The following is a 25,010-nucleotide window of genomic DNA, read 5'->3' on the forward strand; positions in this document are numbered from 1 at the left end:
TGTGTGCACTAGGGGCCCTACGAGCACTAGAGGCTGTAAAGGGCAGTAAAGGGCAGCATCCGTGGGCTTCTGCTCTGGGGCATGGCGTGACTCCAGGCCGAGGGACACTCTGTTAGGAGGCCCCAGCAGAGCAGGGACGCAAAGGAGAGAGCCGCATTTCGGGCCCCGAAGCCTCAACCATGAACGCACCCCTGTGTGCACAGCTCCACGTAACTCCTGCATCTGGATGGCCCTGATTCACTGGCTGGCCCCTCCCCTGAAGGGGTGACCTCGGGCAGGCCGCTTTCCTTCTGAGTGTCTCACCTTCCTCATTTGTAAAATGGGCTGAGTGGGTCCGTCCTCCAGGGATGGTGAGGACCAGGTGAGCCAAAGCATGGGAAGCATCTGGGGTGGGGAGAGCAGCTGGGTAGCCCCCAGACCCCTGGCCTGGGCGTGGCTTTGGCTTTGCTGTCCGGGGAGCCCTGCCAAGCACCCCCAGACATCCTCATAGCCTCCCTCTGAGCTGCCCCCAGCAAAGGGGCAGGGGCTGAAAACCACCAGGCCAGTGTCAGTGACCCTGTTAGAGCATGCGGGCATGAGGAGGTACAGAGAGACACAGAGACAGAGACAGAGAGATGGAGACAGAGACAGAAAGACAGAGTCAGAGAAAGACAGAGACAGAGACAGAAACACAAAGACAGAGATAGAAAAAGACAGAGGCAGACATAGACAGAGACAGAGACACAGAGAGATAGACAGAGACAGAGAGACAGAGACAGACACAGAGACACAGAAAGACAGAGACAGAGAGACAGAGACAGAGACAGAAACAGAGACAGACACAGAGACACAGAGAGACAGACAGAGACAGACACAGAGACATAGACAGAGACAAAGACAAAGAGGCAGAGGACAGAAACAGAGAGACAGAGACAGACACAGAGACACAGAAAGAGACAGAGAGACAGAGACAGACACAGAGACACAGAAAGACAGACAGAGACAGACACAGAGAGACAGACAGAGAGACAGAGACAGAGAGACAGAGAGACAGAAACAGAGAGAGACAGAGACAGAGAGAGATAGAGATACAGAGACAGACACAGACACACAGAGAGAGACAGAGACAGACAGAAAGACAGAGAGACAGAGACCCAGAGACACAGAAAGACAGAGGGAGAGGAAGCCAGAGAGCCAGAGGGGGCTCCTTGCTGGGAGCAGGCCCTGGCTGGGGAGCAGGGCTGCCCTTGAACTTGGGCTCTCAGCTCTAGCTGGGAGGAGCAGAGGACTTAGTTTGTGCTCATCCTTGTAACTGGGAGAGCAGGAGCCCACCTGCGACCTCAACTGGGATCCCAGGGACAGCCCAGGAGGCTGGTCGGGCTAGAATCCGCTAACTGCCTTGTCCTAGGCAAGTCAGGTCCCTCTCCAAGCCTCAGTTTCCTCATCTATAAAATGGGATGACTAGGACACTGCCTAACCTTGTCTCGCAGGGGCAAAGGAGAGAATGTGAGTCAGGGCTTCTCCCGAGGGTCCTGGCAGCCAGCTGAGCTCCCATGGGAAGTCCCAGGGCTGCGGTGCACAGTAGAGATAGAGACAGAGAGACAGAGACAGACAGAGACCAACCACACAGCAACCAACATCAGCTGCTCACCAGAGGGGTGCCAGTAAGGTGGAGGACAAAAGGCAAGCCTCTGTGTGCCCCCAGAACCCCAGATGGGCCAGCACGAATCTCAGGAAGAGCCCACACCCCCACGTGCCGCCCCCGCCCCCAGCATCCACGGAGGTTTTACCTGCAGAAAACAGCAATGAGAAGAGGACGGCGAGCACGTTCAAGGACTGCTGGCCACAACTGGTCATCGTCTGGCTTGCATTGATCCGTCCAGAGCTGCCTGTTCAATGAGAGCCACGAGAGGCTGGGTGTGGGCTGTCTCGCCTGACACTGGCTTTCCTGCCCACAGCGGGGGACGGGCAGGCGGGCAGCGGGCAGGAGAGCGAGTTTGTCGGGAGCAGGGGCCGGGTGCGGACGATGGAGATGCCGCCATCCAATTTCCTTTCTGGAATGAATGACCTTCCCCCACAAGCCAACTGTCACCTCCTTTTCTTTTCATGGCAAAATGAGACTTAATCAAAGGAGGACGGATGGCTCAGGTGGTGGAAATGACCGGCCGGCAGAGGCTGGTGGCCAGGCACCAGAGCTGCAGGAGTGAGGATGCCCGGGCTGGCCCGGCCACCTCGAGGAGCTTACAGGACCCAGGTCCCCTGCTGTGTCGCTAAGGTGGAGGGTTTCATGGTGACTTCCATGAACCCCTCCACAAGTATGCACGGAGCCAGGCAGCTTCCGAGGCACAAGGCACACAGCAGTGCATGAAATAGAAGCAGTTCCTCCCTGGAGCCCCTGTGTTCTACTCAGGAAGGCTGACAACACGCAAACAAATGAATGTTTAAAATGCTCCGAGCTTCTGAGTACATATCCCAAGGCGCAGAAAACAGGGACTCGAACAGATACGTACACACACCCATGTTCCCAGCAGCATCCTTCACCTTAGTCAAAAGGTAGAGGCAACCCATGTGCCCATCGAGGGATGGATGGATCAACAAAAGGTGGCCCGTCACACAATGCACATTACTCTCCCAAAACAGGAGGGAAACTATGATACATGCTACAGCAGGGGGATCCCAGAGGGAATTATGCCTATGAACTAGGCAAGGCACAAAAGAACACAGACTGCAAGATTCCACCTACATGGGGTCCCTAGAGGAGTCCCATTCACAGAAGATTTGTCATCGGGTCAAAAGCAGAATGGAAGATGCCAGGGGCTTGGGGGAGGGGGATGGGGAGTGAATGTTTCATGGGTGCAGAGTTGCAGTTTGGGAAGATGAAAAAGTTCTGGAGGTGCATGGTGGGGAGGGTCGCACAACACTGAATTTACTCAATGCCACTGACTGTCCACTTAAAAAGGGTTAAAGTACAGTGGCCCACACCACCCAGGCGTTGTAATCCCAGCACTTTGGGAGGCCGAGGCTGGCGGATCACCTGAGGTCAGGAGTTCGAGACCAGCCTGACCAACCTGGACAAACGCTGTCTCTACGAAAAATACAAAATTAGCCGGGCATGGTGGTGCATGTCTGTAGTCCCAGCTACTTGGGAGGCCAAGGCGGGAGAACAGCTTGAACCTGGGAGGTGGAGGCTGCAGTGAGCTGAGATCACGCCATTGCACTCCAGCCTGGGCGACAGAGCGAGACTCCGTCTCAAAAAAAAAAAAAAAAAAAAGGAGCGGGGAGGAGTTAAAGTAGTAAGTTCTCTGTAATGTATATTTTGCCACAATAAAAAAAAATTTTTAATGTTACGAGGGAAAATAAAACAAGGCGTGTCTGGGGAGTGGTGCCGAGAATGGTGATGGGGGAGCTGCTTTAGAAGGGTGGTAAGGAGGGCCTCTCTGAGAAGGTGACATTTGAGCAGACCTTTGAGTGAGGCGGGAGAGGCCACGTGGCTGTCTGGAAGAAGAGTGCTGCACACGGAGGGATAGCAGGGGCAAAGGCCCTGGGGTGGGTGCGGTGAGGAGGCAGCAGGGGCAAAGGCCCTGGGGTGGGTGCGGTGAGGAGGCAGCAGGGGCAAAGGCCCTGGGGTGGGTGCGGTGAGGAGGCAGCAGGGGCAAAGGCCCTGGGGTGGGTGCGGTGAGGAGGCAGCAGGGGCAAAGGCCCTGGGGTGGGTGCGGTGAGGAGGCAGCAGGGGCAAAGGCCCTGGGGTGGGTGCGGTGAGGAGGCAGCAGGGGCAAAGGCCCTGGGGTGGGTGCGGTGAGGAGGCAGCAGGGGCAAAGGCCCTGGGGTGGGTGCAGTGAGGAGGCAGCAGGGGCAAAGACCCTGGGGTTGGGGTATCAGCAGGGCCACTAGAGACAGGGCTTTGGGCCCTGAGGGGACTAGATTACTTAGACTATGATCAACCTGTCTCCCATAGGAGTTGGAAACGGAGGCTAGGACAGGCCATCTAAGTGCTCTGTGTAACAGCGTCGTCCTCCCAGAGCCCCTGTTGCCTGCGTGTATCTGGTGGGAGCAGTAGAGATGAGAGATGGGAGTTGATTTGCTGAGCATCTACTATGTGCCCGGCTCTGGGCCAGAAGAGGTACTGTACCCCATCCTCTCCCTGGTGGCACCCTGTTATGGTATGTGAATTGTGTTCCCCCCAAATTCACATGTTGAAGTCCTAACTCCCAGGACTCAGAAGGTTGACGCTGTTTGGAAATAGGGTCATCACGGAGGTCATTAGTTAAGATGAGGTCATCAGGGTGAAGTAGGGTGGCTCCCTAATCCAAGAAGACTGGTGTTTTTTATAAAAAGGGACAATTTGGACACAGAAACACCTGTGCAGGGAAAACACTATGGGAAGATGGAGGCAGAGGTTGGGGTGATGCACATATAAGCCAAGGAATGCCAAAGATTGCCAGCGAACCCCCAGGAACAGATTCACCCCTACAGCCTCATAAGGACCCAACCCTGCTGACACCCTGACTTGGACTTCCAGCCTCCAGGCTGAGACAGTAAATTCCTCTTGTTGAAACCTCTTGGTTTGAGGAGCTTTGCTAGGCAGCCCGAGCAAACAGGTACAGCCTCTCATGTGGAGCCTGGTCCGTGGAAGGGCTGGGTTGGGTCCACACGAGGAAGCTCACCTGCATACTTGGGGGCAGGGTCTGATGTGAGGATGGTGGGGCCTGGAGAGCCCCGAATCCCACCCGGGTGGGAGACCCTGAGGACCTCCTGGCCTGGCTGAACCACCCTCCCATCCCCCAGCCCCACCTCCACCATCTGCAGAGCAGACTCCCTGCCCGCTCCATCCTGTCCACGCCAGGTGAGGCCCTCCGCCCCCCAGGAGGACGGTTTCAGAGTTGAACATGCAGTGCAGGGATCTGCTGCCAGACCACACGTTTCTGAAAGAAGAGATGGTGGAAGATGATGGGCAGTCCAAAGAAACAAGCCCCTCTGCATGCCCAGACTGTCCTGGCACCTGCTCTGGGCCCTGGGAGCCACCCAGCAGCTGCCTTGCCCTCCAGAGCTCACAGCCTGGTCAGGGAGAGCAGAGGGGACACCAACCTGGGTCCCAGGGCAGCTCTGAATGCTGCTTTACTGGGGGCAGAGTTAGGGCTCTGGGCAGGCAGAAAGGAAAGCCACTCGGGCCACCCAGAGGTTGGAGACTTCGGAGCGAGATGGGGCAAAACTCAAGGCCAAACGCACAGTGCTCATGGCCTGGCCCTGGCCTAGGCCCTGCTTCTGCAGCCTTGGTCTCCTCCCCTGTAGCATGGGCATCGTGGCGGGAGCTGGGACGTCAGGTGCTGACCTTGTGAAGTCTGGTTTGCCAGAACAAGGGAAGGGACTATCAGGATTGTAAAATGCCACTGAAACGCAGGCCTCTAACACTAAGCTTACTCATCTCTTCCTCTGGGGAGGGGCTGCCCCCATCCACCCGCAGGCCTCTCTGCTCCCACCACTGCCCTGCTCGTCCCTGGGAGCTGTAAGCTGCTTAATTGCTCTGAGCCTGGGCCTCCTCCCAGCCTCCTTCTGGCCCTCCTGGGAGGATAAGCCGAGGTCAAGCATCTGGGAGTGCTCAGGAATGGATTTCTCCGGGGGAGTCCTATGGATCAGCCCTGGAAAATGCGCTGTGGGAGTGGAGAGTGACGGGACCCCTGAGATGCCTCCCCCGTGCTCCATTCTACAGATGGGGAAGCTGAGGCCCAATAAGAGTTGAAACAGGTCCCCAGACTCCAGCTCCTCTGGCCCCCGTAGGGTGGGGCTGCCCCACTTCTGTGGCTGGGGCTCAGGTCCAAGAGCTGGTAGGTTTGTTGAGTGAATGAGGAGGATCTACCTTAGCCACAGGCCTGGCCCCTGCTCCTGGTGCTCCAACTCCCTACAAAGCCCTGAGTGTACTGGCTGATGTTGCGGGGCTGATGTTCACCCCTGGGGGGTACTCTTCCTTCACCCCTAGGAGTCCAAATCCTGCATCACTTTAGAAGCTGCTTCAGTACTACCTCCTCCAGGAAGCCTGCCATGATTTTATCAGCTGGAAAAAGTTTGCCCCTCCACTGAGGCCTATAGTATTCCATCTCTTCTTTCATTCATGTGTTAATTCATTTATCCATTCACTTATTCTCTCAACACCCACTTGCTGACCTGCACTCGGGGCCAGGCCCTGGGCTGGGCTCTAGGAACACAGAAGAGGTGAGTCCCTGCCCTCAGGGAGCACAGGCAAGGGTGCCCAGCAGCCTCCCGTTATGCGATTCTTCCCAGGACCTCTTCTACTAGGCCATGAGGGTCCTGGCCAGGGCTGGCCCTCAGCCCCCGATCTGCCTTCGCAGACCCAGGGTCCAGAGCTGGAGAGGCCTTTATGCCTCTGGGGGACAGTTCCAGAGATGAACGCACACTGCAGAGATTTGTTGTGAGACAACGTGGTTCTAGGAAAGGACAGTGTGCAGCCTGAAGGCGGGGGCTGGGGCTTAGGAGTTCCAGGGACTGGGTGGGAATCCCAGCCCTGCGGGACACCAGCCTTGGGCCCTCAGGCACACCCCGTGGTCATGTGGATTTGCACACTGCAGGTGTCCCTGCCACAGCACGCTGTGGTTGCGCTGGTCCCACGTCCAGCCTGGGCTTTCCTTGGGGGTCTGTTTGGCATCCATGGCCTGGCTGTGCCCCCAACCCCCCGAGTCTGGCCTGAGATAGGTCACCGTGCGATCAAAGCCGCAGCCCTGTATGCTGGACAAAAGCCCCAGGGGCGTGTGGGGAACTCTGGATGAAGGGGTCTGGGGGATTCTGCATGAGGAGGTAGGGGCTGCCCTTACTCCCCACGCCCCCAAGGCAGCTCAGGGCCAGAGCTGAAAGCTGAATCCTCAGTAGAAAGAATAACCCGCCGTGCGTCACGAGAAGTTACCTAAGTAAAAATTCCATTTCTAATGATCTGAGACAGCAAAGCTTAGAAGCCAACCTCCCCATTCCAAGCTAGGTCAGAAAGCTACTTTGGAAACCTCCCCAGGCCTTGGGGACCAGCCAGCTGCTGTGATCCCAGTCAGGCTTCCATGAGGCGGCCAGCCTCAGGGCCATGAGTTCAATAGCACTGATGTTCACAAGGCCAAAGTCATCACCTTGGGTCCCTCCGTGGGATGTGCAGAGGGGGAACTGAGCTCAAGGAGCTCTGACGACGATGGCGTGTGTGGAGGGGACCTGGGCTCAGGGAGCTGTGATGACGATGGCATGTGTGGAGGGTACCTGGGCTCGGGGAGCTGTGATGACGATGGCGTGTGCGGAGGGGAACTGAGCTCGGGGAGCTGTGATGACGATGGCGTGTGCAGAGGGGACCTGGGCTCAGGGGGCTGTGATGATGATGGTGTGTGTGGAGGAGACCTGGGCTCAGGGAGCTGTGATGACGATGGCATGTGTAGAGGGTACCTGGGCTCGGGGAGCTCTGATGACGATGGCATGTGTGGAGGGGAACTGAGCTCGGGGAGCTGTGATGACGATGGCATGTGTGGAGGGGAACTGGGCTCAAGGAGCTGTGATGACGATGGCGTGTGTGGAGGGGACCTGGGCTCGGGGAGCTGTGATGACGATGGTGTGTGTGGAAGGGACCTGGGCTCAGGGAGCTCTGATGACGATGGCGTGTGGAGGGGACCTGGGCTCGGGGAGCTGTGATGACGATGGCGTGTGCGGAGGGGACCTGGGCTCGGGGAATTGTGATGACGACGGCGTGTGTGGAGGGGACCTGGGCTCGGGGAGCTGTGATGACGATGGCGTGTGCAGAGGGGACCTGGGCTCGGGGAGGTGTGATGATGATGGCGTGTGTGGAAGGGACCTGTGCTCGGGGAGCTCTGATGACGATGGCGTGTGTGGAGGGGACCTGGGCTTAGGAAGCTGTGATGACGATGGCGTGTGTGGAGGGGACCTGGGATCTGGGAGCTCTGATAATGATGGCGTGTTACACCACTGGACAACATCCCCTGAGGGGCCCCACAAATGAGGTCTGTGGGACACCACTCCGGCAGCCCAAGAACAGGCCTGGAAGGGCGTCCGCCGTCCTCCATCCTCCTGTGGGCCTTGTGCTGCCTGCCACCTGGGGCTGCTGACCGAGGCTGGCTCACTCTGCCACCTGGGGCTGCTGACCCAGGCTGGCTCACACTCGCAGAGTTCTTGGTGCACCAGGCTGAACCCTGGTATTCACTGCACTGTCTCAGGTGACCCCCATGTCAGCCTAAGGAGGTGGATCACCAAGCTCCCATCTCAGAAGGGGGAAGCTGAGACTCAGAGAGGTGAAGTGACTTGCCCAAGGTCACACAGCCACTCAGCAGCAAAGCTCACTCTACCTCCTGGCACTGAAAAAGCTTCTGAGGCCTCCTGAGGACCCCCAGAAAGCACATTTACCAGAGACAGATTAAATTTATCCTCCCGGGTTCTATTTCTCTGAAAATTGGTAAACTTCCTAAGATGGTAGTCCGTGGCCAACAACAAAACTCAAACAACTGGAAGAACATTCTGGCTGAGTGGGACGTTCCTGAACGCTCGTTGTTTGACCATGGCCAGAATCACGAGTCAGGCATGCATCTCTGCGGGCCACCCCTCCGGTCAGCCTGGGACTGCTGCTCCGAGATTTGAAGGTTATTTTTAAACACCGAACTTGGCGAGGCTGGGGAAGGAGAGGAAGGAGGGCACGTGAAGAGAAACAGAGCTGGGAAGATGAATTAAACCCCACCAGGAACAGCAACGGATCTGTTTTTGTGTCAGCCAGGTTCGGCAGGGCAGGATGCAGGATGGCCTGCGGGGAGGGGCTGAGGCCTCAGGCTCCCACAGGCCTGGATGCTGGCCTGATGCCTGGAGACCCCCTACAGCACTGGGGGCTTCCAGCCAGCCCCTCCTCAGCCCACCACGCCCCACTTCTGGGCACGACCAAGCGCGACACCTCCAGTCCACTGCAGGACTGGGTCTAGGGCAGCAGGGCTTGGGGGTCGAGCCCTCTGCCTGGGACCAAGTCCTGGCTCCACCTTCTGTAACCACATCCCATGTGACCTGGGGTGACACCTGAGCCTCAGTGTCCTCAGCCCTAGAATGGGGACCAACATCGGCATCTAATTCACCAACTAAAGGAAGTGAGGCATGGAAGCCTTGGACAGGCCTGGCCACGTGCTTCTTGCTGCTGCTGTCTCTGACTCTGCCTCTTCCATCAACCCAAGCCCTAGGCGGCCCCCAGAGCCAGCTTTCCCAAGTACCCACCTAATCACCTACCTGCCCCCTTGGGTTCAAGGCTGCGCTCGCACCTGAGGCCCCTTGTGGCCTGGCACTGTGGCCATCTTGCCCTCCCTGTTCCTGGAGCTTCAGCCCTCTGGGTCTGTGGTGCCTCTGGGCCTTTACTCATGCTGTTCCCCTGTGCTAGGACCACCCTTCCCCTCTCCAAAGCCGTAGCCTGGAGGCTCATCCTGGGTGGCCACCTCTCAGGGCAGTTCTTCCCCCGTGATTCTCTCACTCCCCAGGCGAGCTTCTGACACTCTGACTTCCCCCGTCCCCAGGGTGATCTCGGGCTGTCTGGAGGCCATGCTAGGGCAGGGGCTGGGTGGGGTTCATCTGGGGCCAGCATGGGCAGGAGCACTCTGTGCAGCGTGCCTGGTTTGTGTCCTAACTTGAGAGTGAGCTGGGAGAACAGAGCATGGGCTGCCGAGGGTGGCAGAACCATGACCTCTGCCCCAGGGTTGGCCCTCCTTAGACAGGGGCCACGCTCGGGCCTGAACCCCACAGGATGGAGAACAAAGGACAAGTGGCCTGTTCCCCAAACACATCCCACCTACTCTACTGTCATGGGGGGCGGGAGGCTGACCTTGGGGTGAGGATGAGTCTTGCCCAGCATTCTGGGTGTGAAGCGGCTGGTGGCGGAGCTCAGGAGTCTGGGCCTTTGCCCAGCTGGTCCTGCCCGTGGGCATCCCTTTCCCCACCGTGTACGTCCAAACTGAACCTGCCCATGGGGCCTGGCTCAAGTGCCACCTCATCCACAAGCAGCCCCAGTTACCAGCCCTCCTGACCCCACTGGTCAGGGAGCGGTTTCTCTCCTGGTCGCCACTCAGGGATCACCTAACGAGTCTCTACTGTGGACCAACAGTTCTGGGCGTGGGGGATTCCCGCTGCCATAAGGCTTACAGCCTGGGGGGAGGCGGTCACAGACAGTAGATTACGTAATGATGAGTAATTCTATGTGGGCACGATGATTAGCAGTGGTAGCATTAGCACGGATTAGTAATTCAACAGGGCAGGGCTCTCTGGAGCCCCACCAACAGTCCTGCGGGTAGGCAGCGGCCCAGCAGAAGGGCAGGAAGTACAGACGAGGAGACGGGCTAGCAGCTGCAGATCACCCGAGCCCAGGGCAGAGCACGGTGCCCAATGCTCCCCATTCCTCACCCGTTCCCTTCCCACCCAGCCCTATGCTGCACCCTCAGTCTCTCTGTTACACAGATGGAGAATGTGGGGCTCGGAGAGGGGACTCAAACCCCGGGGTCTGCTCCTGTGCCCTGTCTCCACGACTCATAAGAGTGTTTACCCCTGCAGGCAGCACTTGTGTGCATGCCTGTCTCCACACAGCACACACATGTACACACGTGTGCACATATGTATCATCAGGGATGTTTAACCTCCACAAGTTTCCCAGTCTCCAGGGCCTTTCCTCGGCAGTGCAGACCTAATCCTGAGTTTGTGAACTTTTGTTTTCAGGACATCCACTTAGAGGTTATGAAATCTCACTCTGAAACGTGAAGTCCAGGAATAAACACTTCTCGAGGCTCCACGCCTGCATATGAAGTGAGATCAAAGCATGTCTTTGTGACCCCTTCATGCTTGCAGGGGGAAGCGGCAGGAGAGAACTAGGACATCTTTCCTCGCTGTGCTGGCCAGGACCGAGGCAGCCAGAGTGTATGGCTGGAGAAGGACAGAGAAGCAGCCCGTTCGCCTGCAGCTGGGGTGCCGGGCTCCACGGCTGACAGTGAGTGAGAAGGGCCAGCACCTCACACCCTAGTAACGGCCAATGTGACCTGAGCCCTGCTGACCTGATGCCTAGCCCTGCAGCGGTCACATCCCCGAACCCAGCCCTGCTGAGACCATTTCGTTTTTGCTCATCTCTATGGGCAGCACAGGCCTGACACGTAGTAGGCACTTTATAAACATGTGTTAATTGGTTGAATGAACATAAGCAATGATCATCTCCATTGCTGAGATAAATAAACCACAGCTCAGAGAAACTAAGTGATTGCCCAGAGCTGGAGGGTGGAAGGTTTGCAATCTGAACCCAGGTTTGCTCGACTCCAGACAGGGTGCTGGGGGCGACCACATAGGCTTTGCAGCGAGTCTCCTTGGCCTTGGATCAGAGCTTTATCACTAACTAGCTGGGTGATCTAGGGCAAGTTACTTCACGGGCTTCAGCTTCCTCATCTGTGAAACGGGAGCCGTGCCCCACACCTTGCAGGTATACCAAACATAGAAAGGACCAGAAGCTAGCAGGGCACCCAGAACATTAGCAGCTGATCCATAAACCGTTCTTATCCGATGTTGCCTACTCTACTGTTCCCAAAGCTGATGGTTTAGGTACCAGAGAGGGTCCTGTGTGCCCCTTGGCAAATGAAATTGTGTTTGAACTCCATGTCTACGTCTGATTTCCCCAGTTCATCTTTCCGTGCTTTGCTTGTTCCTTTAGTTGGCACGGATTTCCCTCTGCCTTACCTGTTGGTTTACTGCTTCCCTGCCTAGTACAAGCTCTTCAAGGGTGGGAAATTTTGTGCCTCTGCATCGCCCCACCATGCTTTGCACACAGTAGGTGCTGAATAAATGTCTGCCGGCCATAGAGTAGGAACTCCATTAGCACTCGTTGGCCTGGTTTGTTTTATTGCAAAGAGCAAACTTCCAGATGGGAACAGCAGAGATCCAGGCAGGAGATCTCCTTCAACTGAGACATGGCCTCAACTTTTACGGCCACCACCGGGAGTGACCTTGGGCCATCAGCCCTGGGTGGAAGTCCCTTATTTTAGCCTAGAAACCCAACTCCAGGGCTCCAGTGGGACAGGTCCCCCTAAGTCCAGGGGAGCTGAGGTGGGCCGGCTCACACCCCCTGGGCCCTCACTGTCTCCCTACCAGGCGGGCATACCACTTGCTCCATGGGGCTGCTCTCAGGGTCAGGGCCACGAGGAGAAGCACACTGCCACGAAGGGTGCTGGCCTGGGTGCTGGAATTGGGAAGGCACGCAGGTGACCTCCAACGTGGAAACCTCTCCTATCTCCCCAGATCCCTCCCTCAGTGGATAACCATTCCAGTGTATCCCTAATAAGGCTCTTGTCCCTCACTGACACCTTTCCCTGCTGAATCCACCATGCCCCAGCCAGCTGGGCTCTGAGTCCAAGTTACAAACTCAGCTGTTTCAATGGTTCCCCCTTTTGAGCCCCTGGCCTGGGCCAGTTCTGCACCCATCAAAGTTCTCTGCATGTGCTACTGTCTCGAATGTTGGAAGTAGGCACCACTGTGATCCCATTTTACAGATGAGGAAGCTGAGGCCTGGGGAAAGGGGGACTTGAGCGAGAACACACAGCTGAAAGGGGCTTAGCTGGAAACCCCAACCCTGCTGAAGGCCCTAGATGCCCCACTGTCCTCCAGGGGGCCACACTGGGTCACAGGGCGAGGGGCTCAGGCCAGACTCAGTTTCCTCCCCTATTAAAGGGAGAGCTTGGCCGAGACAATCATGGGCCTTCTTCAGCTCAACAACCCTTTGTTTCTCTCTGTCCTCCTGAGTTATTTGGTTGCACCATGGAGATAAAACAACCCCTGGAAATCCCAGAGGCATTTTTTTCCCACTGGAGAAACACAAAAATATCACATGAAGAATGAATCACTTAAAGTGTCAGGGCAGGAAGAGGAAAGACAGGCATGGCGCTCGCCTCGGGGTGGGGGTGGCTCTGGGTTTCTCTTCAGCTCCCTCAGCCTCCCTGGTCCCCAGAACCCCTTCCTCACTGGAGTGAAGAGAAGCCAAAGCCCTAAGCCTCAGTTTCCCAATCTGTAAATGGGGACAACAAACCTGCCTTGAAGGCGTATTCGGAGGGGCCAATGCATTCATTTGTTCGTTCATTCATTCATTCATTCATCTATTCACTTATTTCGTACCGGTGTGATGCTGGACTGGGACTGCAGACTCTGAAGTGGGTCGAACAGACCCACCTCACCCCCGTGAAGCCAACCAAATGCCCTCCAGGCCATGACTAGGGCATCCTGAGAGCACTCCCTAGGCCATGCCGGACCCTCCCCCGAGCCTTTGGCCTTCTCTCCAACCCCTCTCTATGCAAGGCTCTTGACACAAGGACACTGAGGCACAGAGACGGTCAGCAACTTGCTCAAGGTCACACAGCAGGTAGGTAGTAGCACCAGCATCTGTGCACCCCCACAGGGCTCCCACCCCTCTAGATCAGAGCCTGCTCCCCATCTTGCCCCACTGGCATAGCCGTCACCCCGGCCCCTCCCATTCTTCTGTGACTAGGAGTCACTTAGCAGCCTTGCCTGGCTTCTCCCTTAGACCCAGTGCTTAGCCAGGGCAGGGACCCCAGGGTCAGCGTGAAGGAACAGAGGTGCCCCTGCACAGTGAGGACCTGGAAACCTCCACAGGCTGCTCCTTACCTGCCGAGCCCTGTGACTGAGGGATCAGAAGCCCCCTCCGCTGGCTGCGGTCTCCCTGCAGCTGCTGGCCTCTTCCCCGGCTCCTGGTTGCCACCAACCTTAAACCCCAATAAAAGGAGAGCAACTTGGTCGAGCCTTGTATAGGCAAAAGAGTGTTTTCCAGCGCAGGCTGGCCTCTGTGTGCTGACAAGAATTCAGTGTGCTCCTCAGGGCGGGGAGTGGGGCTAGGGCGCTGAGTCAGCCCTGCAGGAGTCCAGCTCCCGCCTGGGCCTAGGGCCGCCACCTCCCAGGCCCAGGATGGCAGCGGCTGCTCCCGCAGTCCCCACGCACTCCAGCCTCTGGTCTTACAGCCTTGTGCATCCTCAGAGCACCAGCAAGAGCCCCATTTTACAGGTGAGCAAACTAGAGACACTCCCTGTGAGATCCCACAGCTAGAAGCAGCAGGGGCTTAGACCCAGGGCACCGGGCTCCAGGTCCGCACCTCAGCAGATGCTTGGCACAATACATGTGGGTTCCCTCCCGTGGCCCTCAGTCTCTGTTGGGCAATGGAGGTCAGTGGCACCACTGCACAAGCCCCTCTGGCCAGCATGGCCCGGGGAGGGGTGTGGGTAAAACAAACGGTCCCCACACCAGCCCGGGGAGGAAGGGTAGCTGGGACCCGAGAGCCCACAGAGGGTGTGTGGCACCTGCCTGACTCCAAGCTGGGCTGATCTTCCTGCTGTTGCCCCCCTACCCCTGGCCTGTCCCCACCCAGCAGCAGAGGGTCCTCCCTGCCAGTAGGAATGGGGTGGGGATGGGGCAGGAACAGGGCGGGGGATGCCCACACCTGCCACTGTTCGAAACACATCAGTGGCTTCCATGACTGTCTGGACACAGCCCAGGGGCCTGGCTGGCCTCTGCAGCCACACTTCCTGGGTGCCAGGCACCCCCCCAGCCCATGGCCGTCTCCCACCCCTGGGCCTTCGTGCATCGTGGTACCTTGGCGGCGCCCTTGGCTGGCTTCTGGGTGGCATTTAAACGCAGCCATAAAGGAGGCCAGCCCTCCTCTGCCTCCCACCCATCCCTGGAAGCCTGCCCATCCTGAGCCAGGCCAGAAATAAACCTCCTTTTTCCATTCCTTTCGGTGGACAGAGAGCGAGTTCAGACTGGTCTGGGTGCCCCTCATCTAACCACGGTCCCAACAATGGCAGCCCAGAGCGATGGGTGCCACGATGGGAAACCAGGGGGCTATGGGCGCCCAGAGTGCCTGATGCAGCCTGACGGGGTAGGGGCCGGGAGTGGGGGTGGTATTTATTTAATCTTCATGATTAGGAGGGGCTGTGATTATCCCCAATTTACAGATGCGGAAACTGAGGTACAGAGTTTCAGTAACTCGTCCTGGGTCGCCTGGCTGGGGACTCAGACCAGGGGGTCTGGTGTGGACACCTGAAGGATGAGTCGGGCGGTGGGGCGGGGGTGGGGGTGGGGGAGTGTTCCTGGCAGAGGGAACAAGGCACACAAAGTTCCTCCTGCCTCTTGTCTGGGGCTCAGCATAGCAGCAGAGAAACAAAAGGGCTCTGAGCTTGGGGTTTGAACACGGGTTCAAGTCCCTTGCCGCTTCTCAGCTGTGTGATCCTGGGCATGTTTCTCTGTCTCTCTGAGCCTGGACTGCCCTGTGGATTTTGTTATAGTTCAAAGCAGACCTCCTGTGCACCAGATCTGGAACACCTATGACATAGAAAAGTATGGGTCCGCCAATGACATTTACTCCTTGCGATCCACCCTACGAGGCAGGAATTTTAAAAGTTCACCTTTGACAGAGGTTGGAAGCACAACAAAGACCAACCTGCCTGGCAGACCGGGGTGAGGGCTGCCTGGAGGGAAGGTGACCCCACCTCAGGGAGGCCACTGTGACCACATCCTCTTGCACAGTGGGTCTTTGCCTCAGCAACTGTGGGGGAGGAAAAGCACCAACATCCCCTCTCGGCCGAGGGGACCAGGCTCTAGAAAGCTCACAGCGGCGCTATGGAAAAACCTGGAGACAGCCCTGGAGACGGCCCAGTGGATGAATAGGAAAATGCATGGTGTTATGGCCAAACACCGGAACACTCTTCAGCTACCCAAATGCACTGCAGCCGCACAGAACATTACGGGGCATCTCAGCGCTATGAGGCTAGAGAGAAAGTAAAGTCTCCAAAGATGAAGTTCAGCACAGTACGCTTTCTAGAAGGCTAAAAAGAACTGTAAATAAAATGTTCTTTTTGAGAGTGCATCTGGCTATAGCAAGGCATACAGCGGGACGTGGGGTGAAGTGGGCCCTGCTTGGGAGCGCACAGGCTGACGTTCCTGCTCTCAGGCTGAGGGATGGGTCAAGGATGTTTCTTATATTATTAACAAACAAACAAGTAAATAAAGAAGTCTTGGCAAGGACTGCCGAGGGCGAATACCAGGAAGCAGGCAGAGACATGGGCCTGACTCCATGGCCTGGAGTCTGGAAAATAGAATAGAAAATCAAGGTTCAAAATATATGTAAAGAAAAATAATGATTACAGTACCCCCCAGCCCCCATCCATTGCACACAGGCCCACCCCTCTGGGCAGCTGAGACCCACACAGGGGCCTGGGTGGGGACTGCAGAAGCTGCTTTGGCCTGGCTGGGGGTCCCTGAGAAAGGAGCGTTTTTTTCCGGTTCACAGTCCCAGGCTGCTGGGTGTGGTGCCGGAACTGTCCAATTCCAGTAGGGAATCGGTGTGAATTCCCAGCCTCCTCCTACTGAGCCCACATACACCTCGTCCCTTTGAGACCCTCCCAGTTATAAACTCTCTGTGCCTCAGTTTCCCCATCTATAAACTGAGGACACCAGGCCATATAACATCCTCCTATATTTCCATGTTTGGAACTGAGCTGGTGGCCCCATGTCACCTGGGCCACAGAATCCCAATGCTGCTTCTTACGCTGTTGTTACCTGCCTGGCGGGTCACCTGCCTCGAGGAGGCTTGGTTTCTTCCTTTGTGGATGGTGCCATGCCTCCATCCTGGCCCCTCCAGGTCAAGGGGAGGATGACTGAGATGAAGAACACGCAGGGCCCTGCCTGAGCCACTGCTGGGGAGTTGCTGCCTCCTTCATAGGCTCACAGGCAGCAGTTCCCCGGCCTCAGGTGATTCCGCAATGGCAGGATGGGTCTCCATCCTGGCCCTCAAAGGATTCACAGTCCGGGGCAGGGAGGGGAGAGGCATTGCACAGTGTAAACCGCCCATATCGATGTGGAGCAGGGCAATGATAACCCCCCAGGGGCCAAGTGCTCTCTGCAGTGCCCGTGACAGACCTGGTCTCCCACACATCATGCTCCTGCAACAGGACATGTCATTCTGTGACTTGCCCAAGGTTACAAATAGCAGGCCCCCACGTGGAATCCAGATTTGGAGCAGACCAAGCCAGGGAACCCAGTTGGGACGTGGTGCACCCTGGGGAGAGGGACCTGGGTCAAGGATGCAGGATGTGGTGGGAATCGGCCAGATCTTACTAGCTTGGGACCTCGGACAAGTGAGTGACCACTCTGAGCCTCAGTTTCCCCAGCTATCTAATGGGAATGGTACCCAGGGTAGGCCAGGATGAACAGAGAGATCCCCGGAAGTGGCTGCACCAGGGCTGCACAGACCTGTTGGATCAGAACCAGGGTGGGGGGTGGGGGGGCAAAGGATTTGCATCTCTCCCAGCTTTCCAGGGTGTTCTGATGCCCACTCAAGGAAGAGCTGCTGGGCCAGCTTTGCAAGCCACCCAGTCTTTGTCCACTCTGCAGTTATAGACAAAAAAGAGCTGTAGAGAATCCTACATGAATGAGTGATGGTGTGTTCCAATAAAACTTTATTCACACAAACAGGCAGCCCCAGTTTGCAAACTTCTGGGTGAGATCATTGCTACCCCAAGCACAGCCCACAAACCAGCAACCCTGGCATCTCCCGGGAGCTGTTGGAAATGCAGGCTCTCGCGCCACCCTTCCGGCTGAATCAGAGGCTGCGCGCTAACCCATTCCCCAGCACCTGCAAGTCTGAGAAGACCTGGGCTGGAGCATGTGGCAGGTTCTCTGGGCAGCTACCTGGCCCTGCCACTTCCTTCTGAAGCAGATTATGGGGCGGGCAGGAGGGGGAGCTGGGGGTTGCTGCCTAGAGAGTTATAACAAACCAAAGCACCAACGCGGCTAATTGGCAGCAGCTGCTGTTTCAACCAGAGACTTGTCAGCTGTGATTAAGCGAAGTTGCCTTTAGGCCAATCAACTTCAAAATTATGCAAATAGAGCTGCAGTGGAGACCACAGGGATGGTGCTGAGCCAGCTCCCCAACCCCTGACCTGGCACGCTTAACCCCCCATCGTCGGCTGGAGGGCCCCTGTCCATCCTCACCACTCCCTGGACCAGTTCCACTTCTGGGGGTTAATGAGCCTCCCACCCACACTCTGTGTAATTGGCATGGAAGCTGCTGGGCGGGTGCGATTCAGCTCCGAGAGCCGGGCCAGGATGGAAGGACGTGCCTCTCGAATGGATCAGCTGCTGCACCGACGAGCAGGGCCCGGCCAGCCACACCGGCCCGCAGCAAGCCAGGCCTGTCCTTACTCGGGGCGGTCCGCGCCCAGGAGGACTCCCTGGCGGCAATGGCTGGACAGCGAGGGAAACAGGTGCTTTCAAAGGTGGTAGGAAGTGGCTCTCGGCTGCCTTCTTGAGCCCTTGCAAACCCTTGCTGGCCCCATCAGCTTTCCTAGGCCCAGATGTGAACAGACAACAGCCTCCTCCCACCTCATCTGCCTCCATGCCTGTGGCCCCAACACCCCAAACCTGCTGTGCCGCCAGGTGGACTTCTCAGCTGCCCTGGCCCTGTGGTCTCTGGTCTCAGGTTTGCTGCCTTGCTCTGTGGGCTGTTCCCATGGGGGCCGAACCCCCAGGAAGAATAAACCACTGGATGGTGCATTGTTGGGGAAGGCAAGGAGGGCAGACCCCCTGACACCAGACTTAGAACCCAGAACTGTGTCCGCTTCAGACACAGACTCCCCAAGTCCTCTCCGTCCTCCCCCGCAGCATAGCAAGCACCAGGCTCCACTTTCTGTTGAATCCTTCTCTGCTTAGTCGTCCCCAAACTAGAGATCTGTTCTGATACTGAGTTTGCACTTTGGAAGCAACAGGATGGCTAATGAACATGTCTGCCCTGTCTGCTGAGCACGGGGCCCTCTGACCTTCCCGAGCTGGGCTCTGCCACTGCAGCCTCCTGACACCAAGGGGCCTGAGAGGGAGCAGGGACCGAGGGGCAGAGAGAAGCCCCTCCAGGGGAAGGCCCCACATTCAGGCTGGCTGCCCCCCGACCCAGTCCAGCCCATCCAGGAGCCCACCGTGGGGGCGGGGAAGTCCAGGGCAGACAAGCCTCTATCCCGAGAGTCCTCTCTGCAGGCCCGATGCCATGCACCAGGCTTCAAGAGAAGGCCTCCTGCTTTCCAAAAAGGAACATCCCTTATAACGGGGAGAAAACTGCTAAACTGCGTAGCATCGGTCGACATCTGGGTAAATGGTATTATGGAAGTCTAATTAGTGTGCTGTTGCTTTGGGGGAGTGTTGGCTCACAAATTTCTGGGGAATGGAGAGGTAACATCAAAAAGTATTTATGAAAGTGCTTTGTCAGCAGGAAAGCAATCGGGACTGGGATGGCAAGTGCAGAATGCCAGGGGGAAGCGGGTGCTGGGCCCAGGCCTGGCGGAGGCTGGCCACAGCCATAGCTAGAGAGAGGACAGGACGTGCAGGCTGGCCTGGGGGAGGGAACCCAGCTGGCCCTGTGATCCTGGACATGTGACTTAGCCTCTCTGGACCCTTACCTCTGAAGCAGGCTGCTAACCCCAGTTTTACTTCGGTGGTGTGAGGATTAAATGAGATGATGTATGTGAAACTCAGAGCCCACGCTAGGTGGTTAGGAGGGGTCAGTCACCAGGGCTGCCTTTTTCCCTCTCATCCTCTCCGGAGGCTCGCGGCCTGCTCAGTGCTGTCACACAGGTTCTTTTAGGTGAGTAGCACAGTGACCCTGAGAAGTGAGTAAGGGCTGTTCATGACCCTCGGGTGAGGACACAGAGCCCCAGAGAGGCTGTCACTCCCAGAGGGTCACACAGCTCATATGTGGCAGACTTGGGACTGGCACCCAGATCTCTCACTTCCCAGCATGGGGCTCCCTCCAGGATGCGGCGCTGGCCACAGCTGGCACCACCCACAAGTCCCCAGCGTGGCTAAGGATGGAGGCTCAGACACTTGGGGCTCAAAGGGTCCCGTTGTACCATGGCTTCGCCTCTCATTGTCAGCCAGGGAACCTGCCCAGGACAGTAGCCCGTGAAGACTCCAGGCCACGGAGGCAGAACCAAAGTAAGAGTGGAACTGTATAAGCCCTGGCCTCGCACGCGGTGGAGACAGGAGGAAAAGGCCATTCCTTGAGCACCTCCGATGTGTTCAGCACTATCCTGGGTGTTTCACAAGTATCATCCCCTCCAATGTTCCCAAAAGGAGGGGCTACTGCCCAAGTCTGCAGATGAGAACACAGCCTCGGAGAGATTGTGTTGCCTGCCGAAGATCACACAGCTGCTGAGCTTCTGGGACTTGGACCCGAGCTGGTTGGGTTTCCAAGTCAAAGTTCTTTCTAGGACTCAGGCTCTTGGCCTTGGCCCTTGGGGATGAAGGGGAAAGAGGAGGGAGCTGCCACTCCCTGAAATGAAACCACTTCCCCATTACTGGGAACAGCTCCCTCTCCCAGTGACAGGTGAAAAACACAAGAGACCATTCTGGGATCCACTGGTCCCATTTCCCACCAGTGCCAGATGTCCCCACACTCACGATGTCCCGGCAGACCCCGCCCCTGGGTGAAATCCTCCAGCCGCAGAAACTCCCCACACCACAGCGGAGAGGGAACTGCTCCCTTCGGGGACAATTCAGACCATGTGGAAGGAAGGCTCTGGCTTTCGGCTCTCCTGCCCTTCCCACCACTCCGGTCTGGCCTCACACTAAACATGCTTATTTTAAAACAATCAGCATTTGGCTCAAGTCGTGAAAGATTAAATGTAGGAGTTGTGTTAGGAGGAGTGGGATGCACTGTGCCGGGGAAAGAAAGGGGTCGTCAGTGTGGGAGGCCCCTAAATGTCTCAGACCTAGCTCCTGGCCCCAGGGATGGGCGGCGGGGTGGGTGGAAATCAGGTCTCGAGGGTGATGGATCTGATTCCAATCCCACCTCCATCTCTAACAGACCATGTGACTGTGAATGGGTCACTTCATTTAAAGCCTCAGTTTCCTTCCTTCCTTCCCCCGTCCCTTTCTTCCTTCCATCATTCAGGCAAGAAACTTTTACTGAGCACCTACTATGTGCCAGCCCTGATTCTATGGCCTGAACCCTGGGGGTATAGGAGTGAACTAGGCAGAGACACCTTAACCTTGGCATGGAGAGGCCTTGTCTGGCAGTGTGGGAGAGAGGGACAGAAGGACCTCCCTCAGGGTGCCTGTTGGAACACAAACGTCCGATCTTAGCCATGTCCATGTCTGAGTTCCTATACACTGTTGGTTCCTGGAACCAACAGGGATGCTGCCCCTCTGAGACCCCCTATTGCCAGCCCAGAACTGGGCATGGAGGAGAAGGCAGCAGGCATTGGGGATAAGTGGGCCAGGCCGTGGATCAGGGGGCAGGGAGGAGGTGCGAGGCCCTGGCCAGGGCCTTGGACAGTCCGCAAATAAACTCCAGCTCATCCCTCTGCCCAAGTGAGCTGAGAGGGAGAGAAAATAGCTTTCACACTATATTTTCTAATTTTTTTCCACTCCACTGCTTCTAAATCGATCCAGAACAGATTGTCCAATTGTTTGAATTTCAGGAGAGATGTCTCCTGATCTTTTCCTAGTTCTGCCTAAGATTCTGCCAGGCCGCCGCCCTCCCCCTGTGACCCCCTCTTTGGCCCAGCTCCAGCCGATGTCCAGGCTGTCCGGGGCTCGACCCCTGGCCTGTGGACCTGCAGGTGATGGAGGAAGGGCTGCACTCCCAGGTGGTGCTCATGCCCAGGGAGGCCCTGGCAGCAGCTCGTCCCTAGAGGGGAAGGCTTTGCTTTTGCAGGAAGAGCTGAACTAGCCAGCACTGTGGGGCAGTGGAGTCTCACCAGAGGCCAGCCACAACCCACCATCTTCTTCCATACGGAAAGTGCTTTGGGTTTTGGGCTGAGTCAAGACACAAGCAACTGGGAAGGGGCATCATCGTCCCCATTATTCACAGCAGCAGGAATAAACAGGTGTCATCTCGGGCACTGACATGCCTGGGGCTGCCTGGGAGACTGCAGGCCTCCAGGGTCCAGCCACGATGGTGGATTAGCAATGTCTAATGGTAGCAATGTCTGCCCCGGGCACAGCAGTGAGAGTGGCAGTGCTCCAGCCACACAGTTGCCATCCAGGTCCACAGGGTAATGTCCAAACCCAGTAACTCTCCAGCAATCCAGTAACTAACCCACCTGCGACGAGAGTCCTCCAGCCTTGGCTTCTGCTTAGCCTCAGCTTCTGCTCAGCTTTCCACAAGTGCCACGGAACAGCCATACGGAGCTCCCAGAAGTCTCCCAGACCCATTTCCCAGGCTCTAGATGCATGGTTCCCTCTGCCTCAAATATCCCCGCTCCCCTTGCTTGTCAACCTGGTCATCTCAGACTCCACCTCCTTGGATGCTGCCTCCTCTGGGAGGGTCCCCTTGATGCTCAGCCCCTTTCCTACTGGCAGAATTGCTCCCCATCCTCTGTCATCACCCACACCTGTGCATTATCTTACACAGGGCTAGAGTCTGGAGCCAGAACAGGTGACTGTGTTCACGAGTCCCTGCAGACTGTGAGCCTGTGAGGACGGGCCCTGGGTACTATCTCAGGAGTGAATAAACCCATGACATGCACCGGACAAGTGGCCGGCCCATGCCTGCCTGGCACCCACCCCCTTCTGAGGAAGCAGCAGGCAGCAGAAACCAGCCCCTGGTTGTTAAGATGCAGGGAAGCGGGACCAACCCCAGCGCAGCTCCTCTGTGGCTCCTGCAGGCCCCACACCTTCCCCAGGTGTCTCTCCTCCCCAAAGAGGAGTCAAAGAACAACCAAGGAGTGGAGAGGGCCGGCCCTTCGGAGCACTCTGCATGGTCCCTCCTGGGTTCAGACTCCTGCAGGAGGGCCTGCTGTGAACACATTTTACAGAGAAGGAAACCGAGGCAGACAGGAGGCAGGAGGCTGGGCAAAACCACATGGTGGTGAAGGGTGGACACAGGAGTGTGGTGACCCTGAGGCCCCACACCAGCACCCCTCCTGACCACAAAGTGTATTCAGCCTCCCCAGCAGAAAGAACAGAAGCCACCAGGTCCAAATCCTGGCTTTGCAACATAGTGGCTGCGTGCCCTTGGGGAAGTCCCTTTGCCTCTCTGAGCTCCTAGTGAGAATGGCAACCTGTCTCTTCTCACAGAAAGTTATGAGAATTAAACAAGGTGATGTTGGCAAAGTGCCCAGGATAGGGCTACGGTGAGCAGGTGAGGGTCTCCCCATCAGGTTGGGGCTCCAAGGGCCTTGGGCAGAGCACTCCCATCCCTGGGCCTGGTTCTGCCCATGAGTTGGAGGTGCTGCCTCACTGCCCCAGGTGCCCCCTCTACCCCTTCCCTGACCGTGTGCCTCAGGTCTCCTCAGGAGGGGACCAGAGAGTGCCCAGGCTGATGTTTCATGAGCTCCGCCAACTCCAAATCCACCTCTGCTCCCTGTCACCCACTGCATGGAGCCCAAACACCTCCCTTGACTTTCAGTTTGACTTTACAGGTTGCAAACCACCTTCAAATGTGTTATCTTTGCAAGCCAGTCCTCTCCCCACATTATGGAGGGGGAAACAGAGGTTCAGAGTGGCATGGGAACTTGCCTATGCTGAAGCTGAGGAGTCACAGCCTGAACTCGGCTCTGTCCAGCTCCAGAACCAAACTGTGAGGGAACCAAGGAGCCTGGGCCCCCAGACTTGGGCCACCATCCCTAGTCAACAAAGATTCATGCAGCAAAGAGAGAGATCATCCAGCTACACAACGCATCCCACCTTGTCGCTCTCGTCCTCAAAGGGAAGCTTCTGCCCCCAAACTTCAGCCTCTTCCTTGGCTGCCCTGATCTTAATTTCATTCATTCACTAATTCATTCATTTGTCCATCCACCCATCCATCTGTCCGTCCACCCATCCATCCATCCATCCACCCACCAACCTCACCCACCCATTCATCCATCCATCCACCCATTCATCCATCCATGCATCCATCCACCATCCATCCATCCATCCATCCATCCATCCACCCACCTCACCCACCCATCCACCCATCCATCCATCCATCCATCCACCCATCTACCCACCTCACCCACCCGTTCATCCATCCATCCATCCACCCATTCATCCATCCATCCATCCATTCATCCATCCATGCATCCATCCACCATCCATCTGTCCACCCATTCATCCACCCATTTATCCATCCATCCATCCATTCATCCATCCACCATCCATCCATCCATCCATCCATCCACCTCACCCACCCATTCATCCATCCATCCATCCACCCATTCATCCATCTATCCACCCATTCATCCATCCATGCATCCATCCACCATCCATCCATCCATCCATCCACCCATTCATCCATCCATCCATTCATTCATCCATCCATGCATCCATCCATCAACCATCCATCCATCCATTCATCCATCCATCCATTCATTCATCCATCCATGCATCCATCCATCAACCATCCATCCATCCATCTACCCACCTCACCCACCCATTCATCCATCCATCCATCCACCATCCATCCATCCACCCACCTCACCCACCCATTCATTCATCTATCCACCCATTCATCCATCCATGCATCCATCCACCCACTCACCATCCATCCATCCATCCATCCATCCATCCATCCATCCATCCATCTATCATCCCTTCATTCTCAGCAACCTGTCCAAAGCATGCCAAACCTGGACTTGATACTATCAAGCTAAACTAGGAACAAGGCGGCCTCCACCCTTCCAGGATAGAGAGAGGCTCTCTGACCCTTCACTGCTTCTGTGCCTCCTTGGTGTTTCTGCTTTTAAATGTAGCAGTGGTGATAATAATTCCAGTTATATTTACTGAGCACTTACTATATGCCCGTCTGCACCAAACACATTCCTTGGAGCAACTCGTTTAATTCCTGAAGAGGTGGATATCATCCCAATTTTTAGATGAGGAAACAGGCTCAGAGAGGTGCTGTAATTTGTCCAAGGCCACACAGCCAGGAGGAGTGGAGACTGGGATTTGAAATCTTACTGTCTCTCTAGAGCTTAGGGGTAAAACATAATGGTTAGCAATGTAACTGACCC

At 56.6% G+C, this 25,010-nt stretch overlaps 1 protein-coding gene and 1 long non-coding RNA gene across 3 annotated transcripts in view, besides 3 other annotated features; one reads left to right on the forward strand and one right to left on the reverse strand.

The window, feature by feature from the left end:
* The window catches only part of SHISAL1 (shisa like 1), an 88,050-nt gene that overhangs the window by 55,445 nt on the left and 7,595 nt on the right, over nt 1–25,010 (reverse strand). Inside the window, exons 1-2 of one of the 2 annotated variants that reach the window (NM_001099294.2) lie at nt 13,642–13,842; nt 1,770–1,868 (exon numbers count right to left, since the gene is read on the reverse strand). In NM_001099294.2, coding sequence (NP_001092764.1) covers nt 1,770–1,836 — 67 coding nt within the window. In that variant the 5' untranslated portion in view covers nt 1,837–1,868; nt 13,642–13,842. Of the gene's footprint in view, nt 1–1,769; nt 1,869–13,641; nt 13,843–25,010 lie in introns of those variants that run through there. The other variant, XM_005261790.4, reaches the window with a different exon arrangement.
* Nucleotides 8–540: an enhancer, noted in NCBI's record as "H3K4me1 hESC enhancer chr22:44694997-44695529 (GRCh37/hg19 assembly coordinates)". NCBI's record gives its function as "activates a minimal SCP1, AML or CMV promoter by ChIP-STARR-seq in primed H9 embryonic stem cells {active_cell/tissue: H9 hESC(primed)}" and the evidence as "EXISTENCE:reporter gene assay evidence [ECO:0000049][PMID:30033119]".
* LOC101927499 (uncharacterized) lies at nt 13,902–15,890 on the forward strand. The gene is made up of 2 exons (XR_244444.3): nt 13,902–14,034; nt 15,312–15,890. It is a non-coding gene; the product is annotated as an uncharacterized LOC101927499 (long non-coding RNA).
* Nucleotides 17,702–18,203: an enhancer, noted in NCBI's record as "H3K4me1 hESC enhancer chr22:44712691-44713192 (GRCh37/hg19 assembly coordinates)". NCBI's record gives its function as "activates a minimal SCP1, AML or CMV promoter by ChIP-STARR-seq in naive H9 embryonic stem cells {active_cell/tissue: H9 hESC(naive)}" and the evidence as "EXISTENCE:reporter gene assay evidence [ECO:0000049][PMID:30033119]".
* Nucleotides 18,204–18,703: an enhancer, noted in NCBI's record as "H3K4me1 hESC enhancer chr22:44713193-44713692 (GRCh37/hg19 assembly coordinates)". NCBI's record gives its function as "activates a minimal SCP1, AML or CMV promoter by ChIP-STARR-seq in naive H9 embryonic stem cells {active_cell/tissue: H9 hESC(naive)}" and the evidence as "EXISTENCE:reporter gene assay evidence [ECO:0000049][PMID:30033119]".

This window comes from Homo sapiens, chromosome 22 (genome assembly GCF_000001405.40).
Source record: "Homo sapiens chromosome 22, GRCh38.p14 Primary Assembly".
Classification (NCBI taxonomy): domain Eukaryota; kingdom Metazoa; phylum Chordata; class Mammalia; order Primates; family Hominidae; genus Homo; species Homo sapiens.